At 38.4% G+C, this 25,289-nt stretch overlaps 1 protein-coding gene across 6 annotated transcripts in view; it reads left to right on the top strand.

Annotated features, from left to right (window-relative positions):
- PAX3 (paired box 3) overlaps positions 1-25,289 on the top strand; it is a 99,112-nt gene that overhangs the window by 47,641 nt on the left and 26,182 nt on the right. For all 6 annotated transcript variants that reach the window (NM_001127366.3, NM_181460.4, NM_181461.4 and 3 more), the window contains exon 5: positions 19,075-19,280. In NM_001127366.3, coding sequence (NP_001120838.1) covers positions 19,075-19,280 — 206 coding nt within the window. The remainder of the gene's footprint in view (positions 1-19,074; positions 19,281-25,289) is intronic.

Here is a 25,289-nt window from a genome sequence, read left to right as displayed (position 1 = left end):
AAATACCGCATGTTCTCACTTATAGGTGGGAATTGAACAATGAGAACACATGGACACAGGAAGGGGAACATCACACACCAGGGCCTGTTGTGGGGTTGGGGGAGGGTGGAGGGATAGCATTAGGAGATATACCTAATGTTAAATGAAGAGTTAATGGGTGCAGCACACCAACATGGCACATGTATACATATGTAACAAACCTGCACGTTGTGCACATGTACCCTAAAACTTAAAGTATAATAAAAATAAATAAATAAATAAATAAAAATGTATTGTGATGGGTATTGACAGTGTTCCCCCTTCACCTGAGGGTGGTTATGACCACAAAGTGGTTACCTCTAGAGGACAGTGGAAGTGTTGGGGGAGATAATTCTTTAAATGCAAATGTGCATTTTCAATTTTGTTTATAATCCAGGAGCAGTGGCAGTCAGCCCAAAACTTCTATGTTAAATAAATCTCCCTCAAATGATCATGTGTTGGAACTGCTGAGATAAGTGAAAATTTGTGTTTTATTTATTTGGAAGTGTGAAGAAATGTAGAGAAATTTAGTTTCTAATGAATCATTTGGGGCAGAACTGCATGAGGTCCTGTGTCATATTTAGAATTTAAGAAATCTCAGAAGAGAATAAAGCCACATCTTTGGATACAAATAAAGGAGAAATATAAGATAGTATTTAGGTAAGTGAAATTCTAAAGCCCTTGTCCTTGAAATAACCAACCAATCTAACCAAAAACATTCTTTTTTCTTGTAAATTTCTAATTGCCCCAATTCTTCCACTTCAGTTTCTAGGGTATTAAGTTTGGCCTATGTCTGGCCCATGTTCCCTTTTTCATAATACCTTTTTCGAAGTTTCTGTGGTGAAGGTATTTCCTCTGCAAGATGTTACAAAGTGAATTGACATGCATAGAATTTTTAGTGGTATTTGATTTTTTTCAAGTTTGGGAGGGTACTAGCAGTATCATTTTTTAGGGACAAAAAGATTATACATGCTGGCTAAAATCTTGAATTGACTCAAGGTTGTTTGCAAATTCTCATGAAAATACCAAAGCTTTTTGGGGGTTACTTCCCAATAATGGAACTACTTCCATTGCACAAAAGTAATACATATTCACTACAGAAGATACATTCATAATAGAATTTCACAAACTATTTCAGCTGTGTTCTGAGGCTTAGTGAGTGTAAAGACATGCACATGGAGGAAACAGAGTGATGGGAAGGGTGCAATCACGCTCATAAGATCCCCCTACCTGTGATAAAGTCCAGGTTCTCAAGACATTTCTTTAAGGGTAGGACATAAAGCAAAAAATAAAACCACAGTTTTATTCATGAGGTTCTCTGAACTATCCATGACCTATATGTCTCCATTTACTCATAAGTCAAGGTAGGTTGATTTCAAGTGGAATTGGGAAAGAAACCCTATTCTCCTATCAAAGACTCTAGGTAGCTTATAAGCATGAATATTGATTGACTTGATTGTTCCTGCTATTTGGGGATCAGGGGAGGGCTGTCGTTACTGTTATTTAGGGATATTTTATACTGTGTCATTAGCAGGAAGGGCAGACATAGAAGGAAAGTGTCTTTCACTTGAAGACTGGCTTCACCAGAGGTTCATGGGCAGAAGTGAATTTACAGTGGAGAGAACTGCGGGACCCCGGGGGCAAGGGCTTCTTCTGAATCTCTGCAAAGGGCCCTTACAATGTGTCACGTGGTCATGTGATTTTGTAGACTATGCAGAAGAAAGCTAGTTTTGTGTTCTTAAAGTGGATCTTCCCAAATCGGAAAAGCTTCAAACCTCTGCAAAACATGGACCTACTTCTAACACTGCACTTTTGGGCTAGGATTTACTCAAACCTTTTTTGAAACGGGAGAAGAAAAAAACCTCTTTGTTGACAAATATGTAGGACTCTGGAAGTTGAAGAGTAAACCTTTCCTAAGGCCTAAGACTGAAGATGAAAATGGGAAAAGGAAAGATTTACTCAAGGAAAGGGTCTGAGCTGAGAGAGGAATGGTATTGTTGATGTCTTCTTGTATTCAAAGAGAAGAATCACGACATTTGAGAAAAAAAGGGGCAAGTGTATTTAGTTGATCAGAGAAAATGACTTCATGCTCTTATGTTTTTATTTTTTGTAGAAACTGAAAGGCTTAATATAATGCCTCTTCAATTTAATTCTTGCTAATAAAGTTTATTTAATTGGTGCTTTATTATCTACTGTAATAATAACAGTCTGGTGGGGGTGCTGCTGCTGCTGAAAACATGTAAGTTACATGAATGTTACAGTTTACTAAACACGTTCACAGTTTTTTTCTCCATTGGTAAATACTGAAACCAAGAAAGAGCCTCCTTGTTTACTGTCTGTGAATGCCTCCAAAATTAACTGCAAGCCTATGAAAGACTGAAGTAGAATTGATCACATGGTCCTCAGTCACTTTCCTTATTTTGGGATAATGCTGTATCATACCATCAGCCAGTTTTTCCTCCTTTCCTCAGATTTTTTGTAGCATTGTGACAGTCAAAATAACCACTAAACTTTACCACACAAAGACATTTCTCTTAAAATGACCTCTAATTTTTTGTTTACAAAACTACTCAACAGGCAAGCAAAGAACCAAGCTCCCTCAAAACCTGCTTTTAGTAAGGCAATGTTTGCATTTTTTAGATTTGTCTGTATAAACTTACTAGTTGCTTTGCTGACCTCTGACTATTTGACCCTTTAAAATGAAAAAGTACTGCTGGGACACACAGCTAAATGGATACAAATTCAAGGAAGTGGTCAATCAGAGAAATAAGTGTGGTTGCAACAAGAGTTGACCTGCAAGTTGTAGTCAATAGTTTAATTACCAAGGAAAGGCACGGTGTGTATGGAAAGTACAAAATGCTCTTGCAGTACAGAGAAGGGAGGGGCATTGATGGCTGTGAGGTTCAGTGAATGCTTTGTGAAACTGGGCTTTGAGACCTGCATGTGGCATTGTGTGAAGATGTGCAGAAAGGTATTCAAGGTAGCACAGACAGTGAGGGAGCCAAGTTATGACAAACAGTTGGTCCATTTTGGCAAGCACATGAAATTCTGGGAAGTCGTTTTGTTCCACTCTAATGAAAACTTTAAATGCCATAAAGTGAATTCTTAGCAGATTTTTGTGTACATGTTCAGTTTCACATTAATTACTAGTTTTCTATATTTTACAGCTAATTTACTTTGGAATTTATTATTATTTCTTATAAAATTGGTTATTAATCAGTAATTGAATATACATGTTATTTGAGTGAAAAAAATTTGTGAATAATACTAAGCAATAGATGATCCAGAGGACATTTTAATGCATATTTAGAGTGAAGACTGATGATTATCTTTGAAGCTCTGACATGTAATTGACCCGCTGAGACTTTGGGCAGGTTCTTTTATCAATGTCATTTTTAAAACAAAGATAATATCCAACTCACAGAGTAGTTATAAAGATGTAATGAGGTAGATATAATGAGATATAGTGAGAATTTAAAAATCAGAAACAAAACAGCATTATATAATGGTTAGATGTAAATAGAATGGTTAAGACGCTAAAAAAAAATTTTTTTTTCCTCTCTGGGCCCAATTATGAGTCCACCTCATTCCACTAATTTTCAGATTCAGTGGGTTTGTTGGTGGTAGGAGGACTCTAGCTACCATTAGAATATAGGAGTAAATTCACCTATAGATCCACAGAAAAAAATGAGTTGATCATGTGATAAAATGAAAAAAGCCAGAATTTAGAACTCAAGAGATATAGGTTTGAAATTTAACTTGCCACCAAGCCAGTTGATGATGGAGGTATCATTTCATTCCTCTGAAACTCAGTTTTTGTTTCTTGAGTTTTTCAAATCTAGAGTAAAGAGTTTTCTGCTGATATTTAAAGTGATTTCTAGGTTTTAAAATTCTATGCTAAGCAGCACATTTAGCACAAAACATGAACGTCTCTGACTAATAGTGGGAAAAAATTTTAAAAAACTATTTCTAATTTTCTCCCTGCAATTTAGTTACATTGTTAGTTACCTGGGATTTGTCTTCCTGTGCTTCCACTGGTTTTCTTCTCTTGTCACTCTCTCTGTGCAGAGGCTTAAACTCAGCCATTCACACTCTCATCCTGCTCTAGCTTCTTCTATCAGAAAGAAGAAAATATTTGAAGAGCCCCCTCCTACTTCATTGAGGCCTGAATAGGAATAAAGACATGGACTTGGGAGGGATGCTGTAAGGACAACAATCTCTGATGACCCAGCCCTGGACAAGCTTTCTTAAACTTGTGGCTAACTTATTGTGAGAATAGAAGGAGAGATGTATAAGTGGGTTCAATGTTTGTTTGGATGAATTAGACACCTGAGTTATACAAAGACAATGAGAATATATGTGCATTTGTCTCAGCCCTCATATAGAGAAATTGGCAAATTTTCATATCTGGCCATCCAAATGCATTCACAGGTAAATATGAACAAATCAAAAGGAGTAGTGCTTTATAATCTCAGAAAACAACTTTAAGAAAGTTAAATTTTCAAATATAAACAATACTATTAACCAAGCAACTTGTGCTATTGCTAAAATAACAAGGATAAATTCACTTGAAAACTTGCTGGAGGAAAGAGTTTTATTTACCTTTTTAATGTGTAATTAAGAAAGTTTTTAAAAACTTATATTTTGTTAATAATTACACAGAAAAAAAGAATGCGAAGAAACACAGCAAAGGAGTTGGATCTGTCTATATCTATCTATTGATCTATTGATCCATCCATCCATCCATCCATCCACCCATCCATCTGTATAATATAATTCTCTAATTTAAAATCAATAGCAATTCTTTTTGGTTCTGGGACTATCATTATTTTTTATTTTTAGACATTGCTCAAATTTTATTTTATAATGTAATGTACTTTTGTAGTATGAAAACAAAAACGCACAATGAAATAAGAAACATATTTTGCTCAAAAAGCTTTTCTTAGGAACGAACATGTAAATTGGGTGGTGAAGAATGAGCTTGAGTTTGAACTGAATTGGCAGTAGTTTCTTTAAATGTTGGCATCTGTCTTGACATAGTGATGGGATGATTTCCAGTTAAAACCATGGGCTGGTGTGGGTGGGAAGAACGAGTGGGGCTACTTTTGGTTTTTACCCAGGAAAAGCTTTAATTTATTTAAAGTTGCCAGGGATTAGGACACATTGTCAGATCCTCAGCCTCAACTTCAGTCCCTCAGAGCAGGCTTTCCTAACTCAGAAAGCCTTGTCAGAGGAGAATTTTGGGGAAAAAGTGGTCATGGTGAACCCATTGACTCTGAAACCACCTATTGCTTTATTTTCTATCCTTCTTTGCTAGAAAGGAAAGTTGATCCTTCTCTCTCTCTCTCTGTCTCTTTTTGAGACAGAGTCTCGCTCTGTCACCCAGGCTGGAATGCAGTGGCATGATTTCAACTCACTGCAACCTCTGCCTCCAGAGTGCAAATGATTCTCCTGCTTTAGCCTCCGGAGTAAGTGGGATTACAGGTGTGCCCCACTACACCCGGCTAATTTTTTTTTTTTTTTTGTATTTTTAGTAGAGATGGGGTTTCACCATGTTGGCCAGGCTGTTCTCAAACTCCTGACCTCAGGTGATCCACTTGCCTTGGCCTCCCAAAGTGCTGGGTTTACAGGTGTGAGCCACAGTGCCTGGCCTCTCTTCTCTTCTTTCTCCCCTCTTTTATTCTCTTCAGTTATTTTCTCTTCTCTCCTCCCCTCCTTTACTCTCTCCCACATATCACTTCCTTATTCATTTCCCTCCAGTTCTGCAAGATTGTCCCTGAAAAGGCAATGTGGAAAAGAAAGGCAGTTGTCCAATAATTCATGCAGAAACCTGCTACTGAAGAAATTCTTGTGTTTTTCTGGTGTTGGGTACCTGACCTATTCACATTGGTTGTGGACACTAATAAAAATGATCAGAAGGTGAATTGCTCACAATTATACTTTGTTTTGCCTGTGCAGATCCATATCAGTAGACATAGAGAAGACAAGAATTTGCCTCCAAGCAAATATATTCAGGTTTTCCCCATGAAAATCAAACTAAATGTTGGCATGTGCTTAATTTCTTTTAGGCTGGTTGCCTGACTTTTGTTAAGCTTGGCCTTCCTGTTTAGGCCCTGAGGTATTTGGGAGCACTGAATTTATTTACTTTCATAGCTACCTTAATTTTATTCTATTTCTTTTCTTTTTCTTTTTTTGAGACAGTCTCGTTCTGTTGTCCAGGTTGGAGTGCAGTGGCATGATCTCAGCTCACTGCAAACTCTGCCTCCCAGTTTCAAGTGATTCTCGTGCCTCAGCCTCCTGAATAGCTGGGATTACAGGTGTGCACCATCATATCCAGCTAATTTTTGTATCTTCATTAGAGACGGGATTTTGCCTCATTGGCCAGGCTGGTTTCATACCTCTGGCCTCAAGTTACCTGCCCACCTCAACCTCTCAAAGTGCTGGGATTACAGGCATGCACCACCACACTCGGCCTAATTTTTGATCTCACAGTACAGATACAGGTCCTGGGTTAGGTGAAGTTGAGTAACTTTGATCTTTGTTTTGGATTTTTAAGGGAATTGGGAATGAGCAAGAGCTGAATATCTTTTTTTTTTTTTTTTTTTGGTGAACAATATACTGTCTGACTATGGGCGGGTTCTTCTGAAGAGGAAGCAGATGGGAGATTGGATCATGCTTATTGTACACATTCTGGGACTTCTACAAATACCTGCAAAGCTTTGGTGGTGATTTTTCTCTCTCAGTCTTAGGATGTAGGGAACATTCTTCACATGCTATTCCCTTATGCCTGGTAGGACTGGTTAACAAGAAGGGGAATAGGTGCAGAGGGGATAACATTTGCTGAGGATAAATTGTGTATCAGGAATTGTGTTATGTTTTGCAAACTATCTCCTTTCCTTAAAAACCAGTCTTTGGAGCAGATGTTTTAAACCCTACTTTGCTGATGAGAAAATGGATTCAGAGGGTTAATAAGCTTGTCCCAAATCAGAGAGGAAGGGGCCATCTGGGTATTTGAAGTAGTTTGGCCTCTCTCCTAAGCAGTAGGACACATCACCATGACATGAAACTTCCTTTGCCCAAACCTTTGATATCACCTCTTCTAAGTTCAATGGCAACTGTTGCTTAGACACAAAAAGACAAAATTTCAAAAAGCAGCTGTCCCTACCTAAGGCTGGTGATAAATCATTTACATCATCTATTTAGTCATTTTGACTGGTTTGCCAATTCCTCCCCTAGGTCCATTGGTTGGATGTGACACTAATCTGAAGGACCACCTTGTAGACAGGAGACTTATACTTTTGCACGATGAAGGGGAGGAATCACACTCTCTTCTCATTCATTATCCCCTCTTCACGGCCTCTAGGGAAGTACTTCTTGCACAGTAGGTATCCCAAGCATGATTTCTGATGATGACCTTGATGTTGCTGCTAATTCCTTTGCCAGCAAGGATTAAGCTCAGCCTTCTCTGTTGCCTCCAGGAAAAGAGTTTTCTCCTATGTTCAGTTATTACCTCTTTCAATCTTCCAACAAGCAATAATTGACCCAGATAAGATTTGGATTTTCAAAACAAGCTTCCTGTGCTACCCTTTTTCTTTTTTATAGAACCCAAGAGAAGATGGGAAGCAAAGAAACAATCTTGAAATGCCATATGGGAAGTGTCGTTAAAAGCATTTATGTATTATTTTGATCTTTATACTAAAGATCACAGAATCTATGCCTCTGTTTCTTAGTAAATAACATATCTAGGTTTTTCAGCTTTGATGGGCTATTTAATCTTTCTGTTGCCACAGGGCATGACTAGATTAACTCCTATGTACACTGACACTTTCTTTTGCCTTAGTGGAAAGAGTACTGGAATGAGAGTTTTACTTTTTGAGTTTAGGCTCCATATATTATTCATATTTGCATCCCTAGTGCAAAGGACAGTATCAGCCACATCTCAGGCATTTAATAAATGTTTCTTTCATGATGTGTCATTTGAGATAACCTCACTTGCTCTCTCTGGGCTTCATCTGTATAATGAAGGGATTGGTTCAGGGCTCCTTTCAAGGATTCTGCAATTTTGTAAATGCTTTGTCTTGGCATTTTCAATTCTCTACTCATTTGTCTTCTTACTTCTTTGCATAGGCTTTTGGCACAAAAAGTGTAGTATTTAACTTTCTTCTAAAACCTGCCTTTTTTTTATTTTCCAAACATCTCGTGTCATGCTAATCTTGGCAAAGTTTCCTTGTGGATAAAGCTGTTTAGGTTTTGTGTATCTTTCGGTAGTTTTGTCCTAGTAAGGGTGACAGGAGAATTCTTTTGTTTTCTACCTGCTCCAAGAGGCTCTCTGTATAACTAACTTGTTATCTCCTTTACATATTGAACCTTTGTTTATTTGTTGACTTTTAAACAACATATGCACACAACAGCAAAAATATTTGATAGTGGAAAATAAGGATGAAGGCAAAGTACTTTGTCTTTGTCAATTATGTCATGAGACTTATTGAACACTCATGTCTTATTCAAAGTTCTGTAAATATAGCTAAGGTTTAGATTTCATAAGCAGAGTTCTTTCTTGGTAACTGTACAGAACATAATTTCCACCTACACCAACCACCACTGAAAGTATTACTCACCTTTTATGCTTATGTTTTCACAACTGATTTACAGGGTTGTGATATCTGAGTCCTAGCTCAGTGGATCAAGAAGAAAGAAGAAGTGAAGATATTGGCCACAGTTTTTCCTTCAACCCTCATCAATCCTATTTCTCAAATGACAATGCTGATATGATTTTATATTAGGGTAACCTCTCTGAGTTCTCATGAATCAGGTAGGTAACATCACTCTAGACCTCATTTTTGCCCATCTGTAAGATGGGGATGACAGTATCCCTCCAAAGAGGGTTTTGTTAAAGGTGAAAGAAAATGCACAGCAAGGACTTCGCAGGGAACAGGGATTGGGCGGAGGAAGCTGTTAGCAGGTCAGTAAGTAGCTGCTTTTCTTATATAATAATTACTATTATTAAGTTAATTTTGTCCATAATGGTAAAAAATCCATCACAAGAAGGGCTTTGAGAGATCTGTGTTCTGCCTCTAGTTAACCAGTTTACATAGCTATGATTTCAGAAGTAAGTTGTTCAATGGACGAAACACACTTGGATCAAAAAAAACGTGGTTTCAATTCAGTTGTAGTAACAAAAACATAAGCGAAATCCCCTCATAAAACTAGTCTTTTACAACATGGTTTTTCTTTCCCTATTAAAGAAATATTTGTTTCCAAAGGAAGAAGATATGTTGAAAAAATGAAATGGCTAGAAACAATGACTTTAATCTGCTTATTTTTTGTTCGATCACTGATTTTATTCTGTCATAGTAATCAACCCAGAATGACTGCATTTCTAAAATTCTGCAGTTTTGAATAAGTAAGATGTAAATGACAGAAGGGTATATCATTACTACAGGGAACATGATCTTATGTCCTATTTCATAGAGTTAATTATTTTCATTTATAACATCTTAGAAATGCATATTTAATTGTGAGAGATTAAAAACGCCCATTGTTCTTTCAAATTGTTTGAAGTGTTCTTTCATTCTGACTCAATTCCATTGAATATCTACGAGTTGTCACATTTTTAGTAAGTAATAACTGTGTCAAGCTGTGCTGACAAAATGTCCCAACATAACTGTTAATAAGCATTGTCATTTTAAGCATGAAACAGTTTAGCTAATGATTTATCTCTTATAATGCAGCACTCGGGGCAGCTGTATGATTTGTCTCTTTAGCAAGTCAAGTAATTTCTTTAACAAAATGTTAAGCACAGATGGGCCATAAGCTGTCAGTTAACTATTATTGTGTCTGCATCTGCTTGCTTTCAACGCACTGTTTTATGTATTCAGTCAGTTACTTAGCGGCAGCTCCGTGAAAAGCTGAACCTACTCTGATTGGCAAATAAAATGTTCATTTGTCTCTTCTTCCTATTGTTTTGTTTTGGTAACACATGTCAGCAGCTCAATTACCCAGTTCATTAACAGCTCCCAAAGGACATGATGGCCAGCCCGCGATAAGAGGGCAATTGTGGCACATATGGTCAATAATGGCCTCTCTCTTGGCAATTGTAAATAAAAGTCACTTGGCCCTTTTCCTTTCACGAGAACTACTGTTTTCCTGTTCCCCTTCAGTGTGCAAATTACCTTTCTGCGCCCCTTGCAATCCAATCCCAGTAAACTAGAATTTAGCTTACTGCTTTTAGAGACATGGAGCCTTACTGTAGATAGCAGCCCTGGCTCTTAATTTTAATTATGACTGATTTTTAAGCTCTTAGGTGGGGAGAAAGTTGTTATCATGGGAGACTATTCTTAAAATGCTGTTAGCTGATTAATTAATTAATCAGTTTTCCTAATTGAATAGGGACACATTTTCTTGTGTACTTTCCTCTCTTTTTCTCTTTGAAATGCTTTGGTGGTAGTTACCATGGCGTTTTAAAAAGCCGTTAAAAACAATTGCAAATAGAAATCTTTTGCAGGAGACTGTAGGAAAGGGCGATGTCATTCGTGTTGTAAAAGGAATTCTTGTTACACACATATACACACATAAGAAGCCACTGGGCTAATTTGGGTCAGTGTTAGGGTTCTCAAGCCAATAACAAATTCCTCCTTCACTTTAAGCCTTCGAAAGGAGTTGCTTAAACAGGTACGGGTTGGTGGGTATTTTGTGGCTCCTTTAAGCAAAATGTTGCTTGTATGAGTGGTTGAAAAAGACACAAGCATGGTTTTACATAAACATACCAGTGAATACAGCTACTAAAAATAATCACTAGCAGGGCTGCATGAATGAATGAAGGAGAAATAAGCCTTTCTTGTTTGCTGCTGTTGTTAGAAAGGAGGACTTTTCGATGACCAATGGTCAGGTGGTGGCTTGAGACAGAACTCCATCCAGAGAAAGTTTCCTCAAGGAAATGTGGATAGAAATCCTGCACACACCTGAAACTCAAAATTCTGAGAAGCTTAGGATGTTGGGGGGCTTTGGGGCTGCGCAGCTCAGCACTTCAGAGGCAGCTTGCCGTGCCGCCAACCTCTGCTTGTCAGCCCTTATCTTAAACAAACACCCAATAGTCCATGTTGTGCATTAAAAATAACTCCGGAGCAACGGAGCACACGGCCAGGCCCTCCTGTACTGCCCCCGTGGCCGGCCATATTCATAACCAATCTGTACTCTCCTCCCAGGGCAGCAGGCACTCGGGGAGTTGTTGAGTGTCAGGGTTTATTTGTGCTATTTTGATTAGCCCCAACCTGGCAGGAGCTTATTTTCCTTCTAATGACCTCGTGCTGTGAGACGGCAGCTTCCGAGGGAAGGGCTTGGGTCAGAAGGGAGGGGAATAGCGTTACTTTTCTCCAGCCAAAAAATAGGGGACTGCTGGGCAGGAACAAGAGTAGGTAAATGGCTGGAGGGTCTTAATTAGATTTAGTGTTCTTGAAAGAACCTTTGCTCAAGAAAGCTCAGCATATCCTTCCCAAAAATTCTATTTTTTTTTTTTTTGCACTTGCTAAAGAGTCTTTTGCTGGCACATTTCGGGGAGAAATCATAGAGGGAATAAAAACAAAATGAGACCCCTTTACCTACCCCTCACCCCCACCACCAAATAGACCATTGAACAGGTTGTAAACCATCCCTCCCAGTTTATCAACTCACAATTGTTTATCAAAATAACAATTACTCGGACCCTAGTTCTGGGTTAAGAATTCCGGAAAGTTCAATGTATGGCTTGATAGTTACACAATGTACAGTTCTAGCTACACGTTAAAATTTTATTTTAAATCTCTGTTTTTTTTCCACCTGCATATCTGTTTTCTTTTCTCAACATATATACAATTTTAAAATAAATTAAAAATAACATCGCTGATTACTTCTTAGCTTGTGAATTAATGTGGAAGAGAAGCTTCCAGGTGCTGAAGTCTCTCAACTGACTTGGATTAACCCCTACTGTGTATCCATTTCAACCTCCCCCCTCCTTCTCTCTCTGAAAAAAAAACCCACCCCAACCTCCCCTTTCTCATCCACTCCAGCTTTCTTTGTGTCTCCTGCGCCCTGCCAGGCAGGTGTCAGAACCCTGAATGAGGGTAAATGCCCTGCTGATGGATTCCACAGATGGAGCGTGGAAATCGGTAGAATAGGCCTCAGCCACAGGCCATTTCTTGGGATCCAACAAAAGCCTCCAAATAAGTCAACAAAAATCCCAAAGATCACAAAGGGAAAATGTCATTTGTCATTTACTCTGGGTCTGCAAAGGAATATCAGTCTTGCTTCACTCCTCCTGACTTTCACCCGAGTAAACACGAGAGAGGTCATTCACATCTTTCTCAGCGTAAAAGGGCTACTTCAGATCAGAAAACAGTTAGTTGTCCCATTGTACCCTTCACGTTGAATGGCAAAACTCACAAGCGCAGGAGACCTTCTGCAATTAGCCAAGTAGGTTCATCAAACTTCAAGTTGACCTGTTAAAGACCTTCTGGAATATACTTGTGAAATACCCTTAAGTGATCAGACTCGCAGTATAAAAAGGCTTCATGGAGCTCTCAGGAAGGATTCTTATTTTTATCTTGTTCTTTTTTCAGTGAAACACAGCTGGGAGTAAAAGTGCTCACAAATCTAGCTCAGAAAGATTAAAACTGACGAAAAGACCATCGGGTTTGGTATGAGGCCATCTTATAGTAAATAAATTATGACTAGGAAATTCAGCCTCCAGAGATCCCTCCACCTCCTCCCATGTCTGTAAATCACATTGTATTATATCTAGGGCAAACATAGAATTTAAATGGTTGTCATGTTTTGATTCTTTAATTATTCAAATGAAACGTCTTGCTGAGAAGAAAGACAATGTACAAAATTCATGCTTGTGAATTATTTTGTTTCTCCATTTTTTGCCTGTCTCCCATCTCTGAATTATATTTGTCTGAACACCAATAATTACAGAATTCCACATGACTAAATCCCTATAAAATTGAGGCAAGATTTCATGTATAATAGTGTTAACTAGGATGAAATATTTCCCGAGGCTACAGAGGAGGTCACAAGGGGCTAACGGACAAAGACATACTCTCTAATTCTGTAATTCCTTCTTTAATTAAACTTCATGGTTAGCCCGCTGGTGGTAATACTTTTGCCTTCTCCTCCCAGTTTGATTTGTCTCTGAAGGAAGAGTTTGTAATCCTGTGGGGGTATGACAGTTGCCCTGTGCTTGATCCTTTCTTTCTTTTTACTGACAATGTCCATTTTCCCAAGTGTAATCTTGGGAGTTAATGTGAGATGATTAGGATAACTAACAATTTGGCTCCTGTATCTAAAATTAGCTTGAGATCGAACTTTCTTATAAAGCACAGAGTTGAAATACTTCGGTGAGAGGTGATGCTTTCAGTGATCACACTGGAGTTTCTGCTGAATAACCTGAGAATATCCTGATATGTTTCCAGTTATTCCTTCCTGCACTTTTGCTTCAGAAGACCATTTTAGCTCTTGTTATATTTTTATTACATTCATTGTAATACAAAATACCAAAATTAAAACTTTAATAAAGATATAAAATGAATAATCAGTTCACCAGCTTATGATTATTGGCAGGTTCCAGACTGACCCTAGATATCAATGGTCTGTGATGGTTCTTAGTAAAGACTGCAAATGGTCAGATGAACTACTTTGATTTCTTAAATCCATTTAATATCTTGGCAAAGTTGATTTATTTCTTAGTGCCTTATTGTTGTTTAAAAACTATACCTTGGAAACATACAAAGATTTAAATAAGTATTTGTTGAATTGAATCCACTGGAAAATCGTTTGGATTGGTGTATAATATTGATCCAACTCTAGTAGTTCTGTAGATTTCATTTTATGCAGGGCAGTTTTTCAAAATTTGGGATAAATGGTAGCAATAGTGGTGATTAGCTAAGTGATTGATATTTGAATTTCTGTTTTTGTTCATTTCTGTTATTCCTCTTCAAAAGAACTGTGTGTGTGTGTGTGTGTGTGTGTGTGTGTGTGCATGTGATAAAAGACTCAACACTCATTTAAGATACTCTAAGCTAGAAGCAAGCCAGCAAGCATGTCCTCTGAAGTCCCATAGATCTGGGTCAAATTCTAGCTTCCTTAGCTGTATGAACTGAACAACCTCTTGGAGTCTCAGTTTCCTTTTTCTGTACAGTGGGATAAGTATCTAATTCCTAGGATTGCTGTGAAGTTAGGGGGGAAGGGAGAGAAATCCTCATCCTCCTGGAAAGCGTTGCTCTAGGGTCATTGGTGACATTGAGTTAAACTAATGGGTAAGCCAGATAATGGATTGTAAAGGGGTTTTAATAATAGATTCAAAAATTTCTAAATCTGATAGCAATATAGATTGGGATAAAATCTACATCTTTTTGCAATTTAAAGCAATGAAATTTCCATTTAGAATGCTGTGCATGATGTATTGATATGGATTTTCTTATGAGATCTATTCTGGAATTTCAAATTTGGGAAGAGTATCTCTAATAATGAAGGAAATTTTCTTTGTGAAGGCATCTGTAAAATATGATTGAGCAACTTAAGTGTAATTTAGAATCTTCCCTTAATATTAAAGTTGTACAGTAGTAATAGTCCAAAGAGTTTATATTTAATCTAATTGTTGTATCCTGGCAATTTATTAACTCATTTACACAACTGTCCTGCTAACACATTTGTGGTTTCCAAATCATAGCATTAGATATTCTATAGAGAAAAAAGATATAATTTCTTTCTATTAAGCTTCCTGAAAGAAAGCCTTGTTTTTACTTTCCGTGTAATATTTAGAATTAGATTCTTTGTATCTCCTATCCAATTGATTCTAGTAGCTTAAGTAAAACTGAGTATGTAAAATAGATGAAATCCAAAAAAATGGCCCTCCTATGTGCTCTTAAAATGGGATTTAAGTTTTAGTTTTGCTCTTGGTAAAAACTGGATGATTCTGCCAGGTGGTGTGAGTCTGTAGTCCCAGCTATTTGGGAGGCTGGGGTGGGAAGATTGCTTGAGCCCAGGAGTTTAAGACCAGCCTGGGCAACAAAGCAAGACCCTGTCTCTAAAACAAACAAACAAACAAAAATGAAATGATTCAAATTGGGGTGATCATTGTGAATCAAGTGCTGTACAAATAAATTTTATTTCTATTGAATGATATAAGAAATAGTAGTATTTCCATGTTTAGAAATAGCTAGTTTTTCCTAGCCGGCAGATTAATCTTGGGTTGCTGACTTTACATATTTTAAAGCCCACATCCCTTTGGGGTTTACAGATGGGGAAAAGTTAGAATTATCTTGTAAGATTGTGGCTTCATATTGCCAAAAATTATCTGGTTTCTCAAATAAGTTTCCAGCCGAAAAATCAGGCAAATCATTTCCTCAACATCTTCTGAAATTATGCTATATGGTGGTTTTCCCAGTTAGATGCAACCTTTCCATTGCTTTTGAATAAACAGTCTAGAAGTAAGAGTAGTGATTTGTAAGCTTGTTAAAGAGAGTTTTATTTTTGGTGGTAACGGCTGTCCTATTGAACTCTTAAATTCTGAGACTTTTTTTTTCTTTTAAAGAATCACCAGGCCCTGCTTTCATGGCCTATATTTATACTCAAAGTCAGGATCAAGGGAGCTTTTGCCCTTCTCCTCCACTGGAAGTTTCTGTCCTCCCTGAACTCACCTTAGGATACCTGCATTCCTGTTTGACAGGTGTACTGTCCCAAATTCTGAGGCTTTTCATTACTAGCTATGCTAGTTTTCATCTTTAAAAAAGCCCACAATCCTCTGAAAAAATTGGTAATCATTCTTCCAAACAATGCAGGTATATAAATACCTGCTAAACATTCAACATGATTGTTCAGGCCTCACAGACTTCCAAAGCCCATCTGAATAGATGTTGGGAGATGTCATAAGAGGAGAATTTCCATTTTAAGAATAAAGATGTAAAACAGTGGCAAATAAATCAGTGTTGGAGCAAATCTGAAATTTGCCCCACACTTGGCATTCATTCAACGTGTCCTTATTGAGTGCCTACTGTGTTCTAAGGGTTCCAGCAGTGAACAAGGCAGAGAAGGGCTTTGAGCTCACCCAGTTTATATTCTGGGGAATGTTGATTTTTAAGGTGAAACACCATGGTCTTGACCCTCAGGATTAATTCTCGCTGGTGCTTGTAAATCTAACCATTCTTTTTCTTCAGAAACCAGAGACGATTTTGATTAATTGATCTGACAGTGCATGGCACATCATATTTACTTGAAAGAATTTAATAACCCCAGAGACTCCCAAAGGAAACATGAAAATTTCCACATACTATTATCCTAATGGGATCATAGTAAGAGAATGTACAAGCAAAGATTTAGGGTTCTCTTGGGCAGAGGAAGTTTTTGGTCAGTCTTTAAATGCTATTGAGTGTTTCACCTGAATTCACTTTGGAAAGAAAGGTTAGAAACTGGAAGCACTGAAGGAAAATATTTTATGGAAATTTGTCTTCTTAGGGGAATACGTAATTTGTTTCTTAGGGAGCACATTGTTCACAATTTAAAAATATACATGTGGGAGTGACTTTCAGTTAATTGTGGCAGATGTATTTTACAGAGTTGAAAATTTTGAGAGTGACAAGAATTAATCTAGAATATTCTATAGAGGTGGGCAGTGTTATCTGGGGTCGGTAGAATCAGCATCAATCACCTGGGAATGTGTTAGACATGCAAACTCTTGGAGCCCACCTCAGATCTACTGAATTGAAACCATGGAAGGGGATCCATCAGTCTATGTTTTACCAAGCCCTCCAGGTCATCCTAATGCTCCAAAAGCTTATGAAACACTGTTCTATGACTCGGCACAAATTATTGCTCATTTAGTTTAGCTTACATTTATCAATCATACATGTATATAAGTTGCATTGGGAGCTTTTGGAGTTTATAATGCAATGCATAGCGTATTTTTTAGCATGTTAATTGTCCTTTAAAATATTGCCATAGCTAGAGAAAGTCTAGTTTTCTTTCTTTAAGTTAGTAGTAAAATATCCTAACGTAAGATTTATGTTAAATGAAATAATTTTATATTAAATTAGATAATTGAAAAATCAAAAATAATATGTAATACTTCTCTTTTGTTTTATGCACATGTATTTGTTTTCAGGTATATTTAAAAAAATTATCACTTGCATTATTAATTTACTCTATTGCCTCTTAGTTTCATAATATTTAGATGTGAATAAAGTATGGAAGTAGTAAAATGTTAGAAAACTGAAAATCACATTTATGGGTTCATTTTGGATGTGTACCATTTGGGGCAGTTTAAAATTTCTACTGAAATAGAATGAAATTTTAGATTTCTGTAGGGCAGAGTTAAGTTGGAGTTTAAGATAAAAGAGAATTAGAAGTAAAGGACTTACACATATTCACATTGCTTCTAGCACCACCTTCATTTCCCCAGGTCCTATCAGCCTGAGGGTGCAAATGAGTTAGTGTGACATTGACATTAATAATCTACAATTTTCTGGCTTACTGTTGCATTTGCTGACAGTAACCTCGGCCCCTTCTTTACAGGATCCCTTAGTTATTTGGGGAATTTTCAGAGCACATTTGGATGTGTTCAAGAGCCAGGCTGCTCTGGTTCCCCCTCTAGGCTCAGGGTCTATGGCCTGATAACCCTTTGATAGATCTTTGCCCACTACCCCAGTATCTGGGGTCCCGGGAGAGGGCTGCTCTTCCTGCCTGTAGCCCTGGTCTGATGCATTCTCCCTCACACTGCAGAACCCTCTATAGCCAGCGTTGCTCTATTACTGTAAGGGTTCACTTTGCTATGGGATCCCTAATGCATTCCTAGCAGAAACAGGGAAAATGCCTGCTCCACCCCTGCCCTCATCAAATTCTGGCCTGGAAATGGAACCACTTGTGCCCAGGTTTTGCTAGTTGCAGCCACAGATTCAGACCCTGTTCTTACAGGAGTACTAACCATTTTGTATCATTAACGTAATTTGTATCAAATTTCCCACTTCCCGCTTCTCTTGCCCCTGTACCTGCCCACTCAATTTTGAAATTCCCTTCCACATGTGAGTACAGGCAAATACACACAAGTTTTGTGTGTGTTAGGCCACCACACAGTGGCTTCAGGGACATTTTTGTCTTATGCAGTTGCTCAGGGCCACACACTCAGAAGGCCCTGGGATTGGGTTAATGATCTGTTGTTGCCTTCTTGAAACTCATAATATTTTTTTACAAAAGGGATCATACTTTTTTTTTTTTTTTTTTTTTTTTTTTTTGCATTGGCTTTCTTAAATAAAGCAGCTGTCCTGGACAGATGCCCACTCAGCAGAGACCCAGACTCTAGTTAGGGACAGTTCACAAGACAATGCCTGCCTGCTTCTTCTCAGGTCAGTTCTAGAGATTTACATTTTAATAGTACATACATTTTCTTTAAAGCATTTCCCCATATCTGGTGATGAGATACTGATTTAAATATAATTTTTTATAAGAGCAGTAGTCTATAAATATATAGGAATCTGGGAATAGTTAACTGTTACTCGCTTCTTAGGTACTAAGTCAAGTTTGGAATATTTTTAAAAATCACATTTAACAGATTTCATAATGTAAATGTTGGTGAAAATTTATCAGAAACAAAACTCAATGTGATCCATTCATTAGACACGAAGGAAGCACCCATTAAGTAGTAAGCATAGGGCCATACAAATGGAATAAGGCCTGTCCCTGTTTTCTAAGAGCTCATAATTGGCCTAGAATGACAGATGCTATGAGCAATTATTTCTGCCTAGGGGGCAGAAAGATAGAGTAGGAGAAGAGATTAAATATTATTTAATGATGCAGGACTGCATGGGGGCGGGGTGCTTGGTGTCCATGGAAGACATTGGGAATGCACTGTAGACCAGGATTTGAATTATTACGGATTGGTTAGACTTGTTTTTTGATCCACATTTATTTTACTTTAGGTATAGGGATCACTGTAATGGTGTCTTGCAGTCGGAGAGAGAACTTGGATTCAATCTCAGTTTTATTTTTTTGATTCACATTTTATGATGTTTTGTTCTTCTGTGCTTTTAGCCTCAGCACCCCAATCAGATGAAGGCTCTGATATTGACTCTGAACCAGATTTACCACTAAAGAGGAAACAGCGCAGAAGCCGAACCACCTTCACAGCAGAACAGCTGGAGGAACTGGAGCGTGCTTTTGAGAGAACTCATTACCCTGACATTTATACTAGGGAGGAACTGGCCCAGAGGGCGAAGCTCACCGAGGCCCGAGTACAGGTACTGTTGCCCAAACCTCCGTGTCCTACTTCAGTCCAGACAGGAAACAAACAAGCATCTTCTCATCTAAAACATATGTCAATCCCCCCCAAAAATGTATTAGGAATGGCCCTTTACTAGGGATGCATATTGTTAGGACTTTGATTATTTACTGACAGAATACAACTATATCATTTACGACACACAGAAGTCCACCACTTCATGTGACTAACTCAACTTTTCAGGAATCCTTATTGTACACCAGCACTATATGGACTTTGGGGGTGATACACAAGTAAGAGCAAATAAATTTTGAGTGGTTACTCTGTCCCAGCCACTATTTTAAGTGCTTCACATGAATTAACCCATTGAATCATTATTAAAATCCTAGGTGGGTACCATGATTGCTACTCTCCATTTACAAATAAGGAAACTGAGACTTGGACTATATAAGTAACTACCCAAGGTGGCATAGCTGCAAAGTGAGTCTAGAGATAATTGGATCCCATACGCTTCATCTCTGTGACCTTTCAATTATGAAAATGTGCAAAGGTGCATAACATGAAATTCCTTCATTTAACGATTTTATAATTAAGAAGCATTTCAAGAAATTATATTACTTAAAGAACATGTTGAATTATCTTTTGAACTCTTAGAGGTGCTCTGAACCTTCTGGAAAGGCTACTTAGATGTAATATGTTTCTATAGAGTATAGAATAATGTTTTCATCATTAATGAAGAACTACTTCCTGGAGCTAGTAAAACAGTGTTTGAAAGATGGCAGATATCGTAGGGTATCCTCGAACTCCTCACCACCCTAGAAGTTAAGTCACCTTGTCTGCAAATATTGTGTGTTATTTCCAGATTCTTAATTTGCAGGCTGGGGACTCAGCAGTGGACTAGTCAGTTGACATGGTCCCTAGATTGATCAACACGTTCATAGATGCAGCTAATTAACTCTCCTATTACAGAATTTTACAGAAATAGCCTCTTCCAGGCTGCAGAGCTCAGTCAGAGAGATTGTTTTCTTCAAACTTCCATATGATCATCATAGTGCTAGGAAAGTCAAGGAATGCTAAGATCAATTAAGACAGTTCTCTGAAGGAGTTGCAATCTAAGAAAGGTAAAAAAATAAACATACAAATAATTTAAAAATAACACAGACATGATAAGTGCAGAAAGAGAAAAAGTGCAATGGGAGTTGAGAAGAGGAAAGGATGAGATTTTTTTTTTTTTTTTTTTTTGAGGTGGAGTCTCACTCTGTCACCCAGGCTGGAGTGCAGTGGTACAACCTCAGCTCACTGCAACCTCTGCCTCCTGGGTTCAAGCGATTCTCCTGACTCAGTCTCCCAAGTAGCTGGGATTACAGGTGCTTGCCACCAGGCCCGGCTCATTTTTGTATTTTTAGTAGAGATGGGGTTTCACCATGTTGGTCAGGCTGGTCTCGAACTCCTGACCTCGTGATCTGGCCGCCTTGGCCTCCCAAAGTGCTGGGATTACAGGTATGAGCCACCATGCCCAACCTTTTTTTAAAAAATTATACTTTAAGTTCTGGGATATATGTGCAGAAGGGGCAGGTTTGTTACATAGGTATAACACGTGCCATGGTGGTTTGCTGCACCCATCAACCCGTCATCTACATTAGGTATTTCTCCTAATGCTATCCCTCCCCTAGCCCCCCACCCCCCAACAGGCCCTGGTGTGTGATTTTCCCCTCCCTGTGTCCATGTGTTCTCATTGTTCAACTCTCACTCATGAGTGAGAACATGCAGTGTTTGGTTTTCTGTTCCTGTGTTAGTTTACTGAGAATGATGGTTTCCAGGTTCATCCATGTCCCTGCAAAGGACATGAACTCAAGGGATGAGATCTTGAAGGAATGAAGAGAGGTACATGAAGAAGGCAGATTTAATTTTTTTTTTTTTTGAGACAGGGTCTCATTCTGTAGCCCAGGTTGGAGTACAGTGGTACAATCACAGCTCACTGAAGCCTACACCTCCTGAGCTCAGGTGATCCTCCCACCTCAGCCTCCCAGATAGTTGGGGCTACAGGTGCATGCCACTATGCCTGGATAATTTTTTGAAGAGATGGGATTTTGCCATGTTGCCCAGGCTCTTCTTGAACTCCCAGGTGCAAGCGATCCACTTGCCTTGGCTTCCCAAAGTGCTGGGATTATAGGCATGAGCCATTGTGCTGGGCCCAGAGGGCAGATTTAAGATGAACTTTCCGGGCTAGATAGATATTCACTGGACCAGGTGCATAAGGAGAGTATATTAGTAATAGGGAATTATATGAGCAGAGGCACAGAGAGGTAGAAGTGGTGGGCTACACGTAAGATAACCTTTCTTTTTCACTCTAGTCATATTGGGAGAATAGTTAGTTTGATTAGAATGTAAGGAGTGGTAGGGTGGTGGAAGAAATAGGGTTTGGTAGGTAGGCTGAGGATATCCTATGGAGGTCTTGGGTTTCAGGCCAGTGAGCTCACATTTGATGTGACAGGGAGTGGGGGCTATGGCATGAGATAGGTAGTGGCAGTGGGAATGGCAAGGAAGAGATGGTGGTGAAGGTATTCAGAGGTAGAATGGACAACCGATTGTGTAATCTAGAAGTGGGGAGGAAGGTGAGTGAAAGGAAGAGTTGTAGATAGACCAAGGTTCACAGAGCTGGTGTTTTAAAGTTGGGAAACCTATTATCATTGGGAAACAGAGTGTTTCTCCCCACCACACAGTGTAGAAATAACCTTTATTAACTAAGTCATAATATTTCAATAGAAAAATATTTTAATACAGTATTGATATAGTAATATTATATAATACTATATAAATATTATATTAACATAACATTAATATTACTATATCAATGTTATGATATTAACATGCATATTAATATAACAGTGCAGAGAAAAAATCTGTATCACAATCAAAAGGGCAGACAAATTAAATCATATAATAGTATATTATATATAACAATGTTATAAATAATATGTTTCAAATCTACTTTGCTTTTATTATAGTTCTGCAATTACCTGCAAATGTTATGTGAGGTCCAATCATGCCTCTTTTGAGTGGCCACTATATTCCAGGATTTGGTACCTGTCCTCTGTAACTGGCCAAGCCCACCTACTAGATCTGCTTTTTTGTTTGTTTGTTTGTTTGTTTTTTGAGACAGAGTCTCACTTTGTTGCCCAGCCTGTAGTACAGTGGCTTAATCATGGCTCACTGTGTAGCCTCGATCTTCCAAGCTCAAGTGATTCTTCCACCTCAGCTTCCAGAGTAGCTGGGTCTACAGATGTGTGCCACCATGTCTGGCTAATTATTTTTCTATTTTTTTGTAGAGCTGGGGTCTTGCTATGTTGCTCAGGTTGGTCTTGAGCTCCTGGACTCAAGTGATCCTCCCTCCTCAGCGTCTCAAAGTGTTGAGATTACAGGTGTGAGCCACTGGCACTAGATCTATTTTTAAAATAGGCCGAGTATCAGCTCTGAACTCAATGTGAGTAAGGAAAAATAAACATTTATTGTAAATAGATCAGACAAGGAGTGTGATGGAAAACTGAGGAGTGTTCGGTGTTGTTCTCTTTCATTCCTGCCTTTGTCAAAACTAAGGATGGAGACAGAATATATTTCAAACCCATGTAGCTTGTACAGCACCCAGCATTCTCATCTGGCTCAATGAATGTCAAAGGATAATAATAATGGCCCATTAACTTTCAGAGGACATGGGATCAAACCAATAAACAGTAGTTCATACTTTTCCATATAGTGACCTCCTCTTCGAAGCAGGGCCTTCATTAACGTAACAGCTGTCTTAATGTGGCTTTAACCCGGTGACTCTTGACATTCCTTATGGCTTCTTTAGTTCCCTTGAGACACATCATGGCTGGCACCACGGCTGTGATCTATAGCCTAACAAATTCCCTAGAACACCCAGCATATGGATCTTTTACTTAACCCAGCAGGAAAAAGAAGGGAGTAGTTAATCACTGATTAAAATGCCAGAAGAAAATCCTTTAGTTTTTAGAGGATCTGGGAAAGCAGTAGCCAAGTCAACTCAGTTTGAGTGATAGCCAGAAAGTGTGAGTTAGTTTAATTTGGGGCACCTGGGAAAACCAAACACGAAACACCCCCCAAACCCCAAATCATGTCTACATTTCATTTTTTTTCTCCTGAGGAAAAATATTTCTACACTCTTCTAAATAGAAATGGGACTAAAGCTATAATAACTTTAGCCTCTGTCAGTGTTTTATATAAATTCATTTAGGCTGTAGCTGTGTTGAGTTTATCATAACCAAATCTGAGTACACAATGTAAGAACTGTTGTATACTAACGACTATTTGCCTAGTAATAATAACACTACAAGGTTTTTTTTTTTTTTAAAAAAGATGATTTGCCTAATTCATCTGTAATGAGGGTAGCTGTTATTAATATCATGCAAATAATGACAAACATTCAAGTTTTGTGGGGAGGAATTACTTGCAAATATTAATTAATTAATTATTTTTTGAGACAGGGTCTCACTCTGTTGCCTGAGCTGGAGTGCACTGGAGTACAGTGGTGCGATCTCTGCTCACTGCAACCTCTGCCTCCTGGGCTCAGATGATCCTCCCGCCTCAGTCTCCTGGGTAGCCGAGACTACAGGCTTGTGCCACCACACCCAGCTAATTTTTGTATTGTAGAGATGCGGTTTCACCATGTTGCCAAGGCTGGTCTCAAACTCCTGGAATCAAGTAATCCTCCTATTTTTTGGCCTCCCAAAGTGCTGAGATTACAGGTGTAAGCCACTATGTCTGGCCCAAATATTTATGATGTGCAAAAGTTTTAGTAAATATTCCATCTAAGAATCCCATGAAGTAGGCAAGTAACATCCTGTTTTACCACGAAGACAATGGAAGACAGAAAAACAAGTTACTAGGGGAAATAGAATTTAACTAGGAGTCAGATGATATGGGTTTCGTTCCCAGTTGACAAATGTGTTTTGTTGAGCAAGTTACTTAATCTTGCTGGAATCCTTTTGGACTTCAGGTTTTTAATTTTTTTAATTTAAAAAAATATGGGGTTGGTTAGATCACATGATCTCAGCTGGGGTTCATGCCCCACCAGGATAATCATGGGTGGACTTCAGGAGATCTGGGAGATTTGAGATTTGTACACAAAATTTTGCTCCTTTGCTTGTGTATGTGTATATACAACTGTTAACTAGAGAAAGGGCCTCTGGCTTTCATTATGTGCTCAAATACCTTTCTCCCATGCCCAAATTAAAAACTAGTAGAACGCATGATTTCTCAGGACCCTTATAGCATCAGTAATTTAGGATTCCCAAAAAATAACAATGGTGATTCCCAAGGGTCCTGAGAAATCATGCATTTTGGGAATGACCCAAATGCATAATTTCTCAGGACCCTTGGGAATGAGAAAGGGAATGAGAATATGGCAGAATCCTTATAGCATCAGTAATTTGGAATTCCTAAAAAAGCACCATGATGATTTGAAGCCGTCTAACTGATCTGTATAGTTCAGAAGTTCAGATAGGTATAGAATATCCTAAGCTCCGTAATGAAGCAAACATATGTTCATCCTGAAGTTCTCTGCAGGAGTTTGCTTTTGGGAGGTATCAAGATGCAGTTGAGTGTGCTTTTGTGTGTGTCCATGGTCTTTTCACATGCATGGGAGCATGGCCTTCCTCCTGTTCAATCTTGCCCATCCTGTTTCCAACCTGCTCTCCAAATGGTGGCCAAAGTTGGATAGCAGCAGTGATTGGAAGGCTGGGAGAACCTTTCATAGAAAGAGAAAGGAGGTGAGAGTGAAGGAGAAGGTCCAGGGAAATGAGCAGCTTGCCCTGAATTTCCCTACTTGGAAAGTACTGTACTTGGCATGTCAGCATTCGACATCCTGAGTCTAGTATTTAACCAAACGTTTTACAATCTTGTTGCGAATTCTCTTTCTAAGGATTAACTATTATGTTCTCTCCCCATTTTTCAAATTGCATTTGAAGTAATCCGTCTTGAATAATGTAGGCTGAATTGCCTTTGAGAACAC

Source organism: Homo sapiens, chromosome 2 (assembly GCF_000001405.40).
Source record: "Homo sapiens chromosome 2, GRCh38.p14 Primary Assembly".
Lineage (NCBI taxonomy): Eukaryota > Metazoa > Chordata > Mammalia > Primates > Hominidae > Homo > Homo sapiens.
This window is presented reverse-complemented; position numbering and strand designations above follow the sequence as displayed.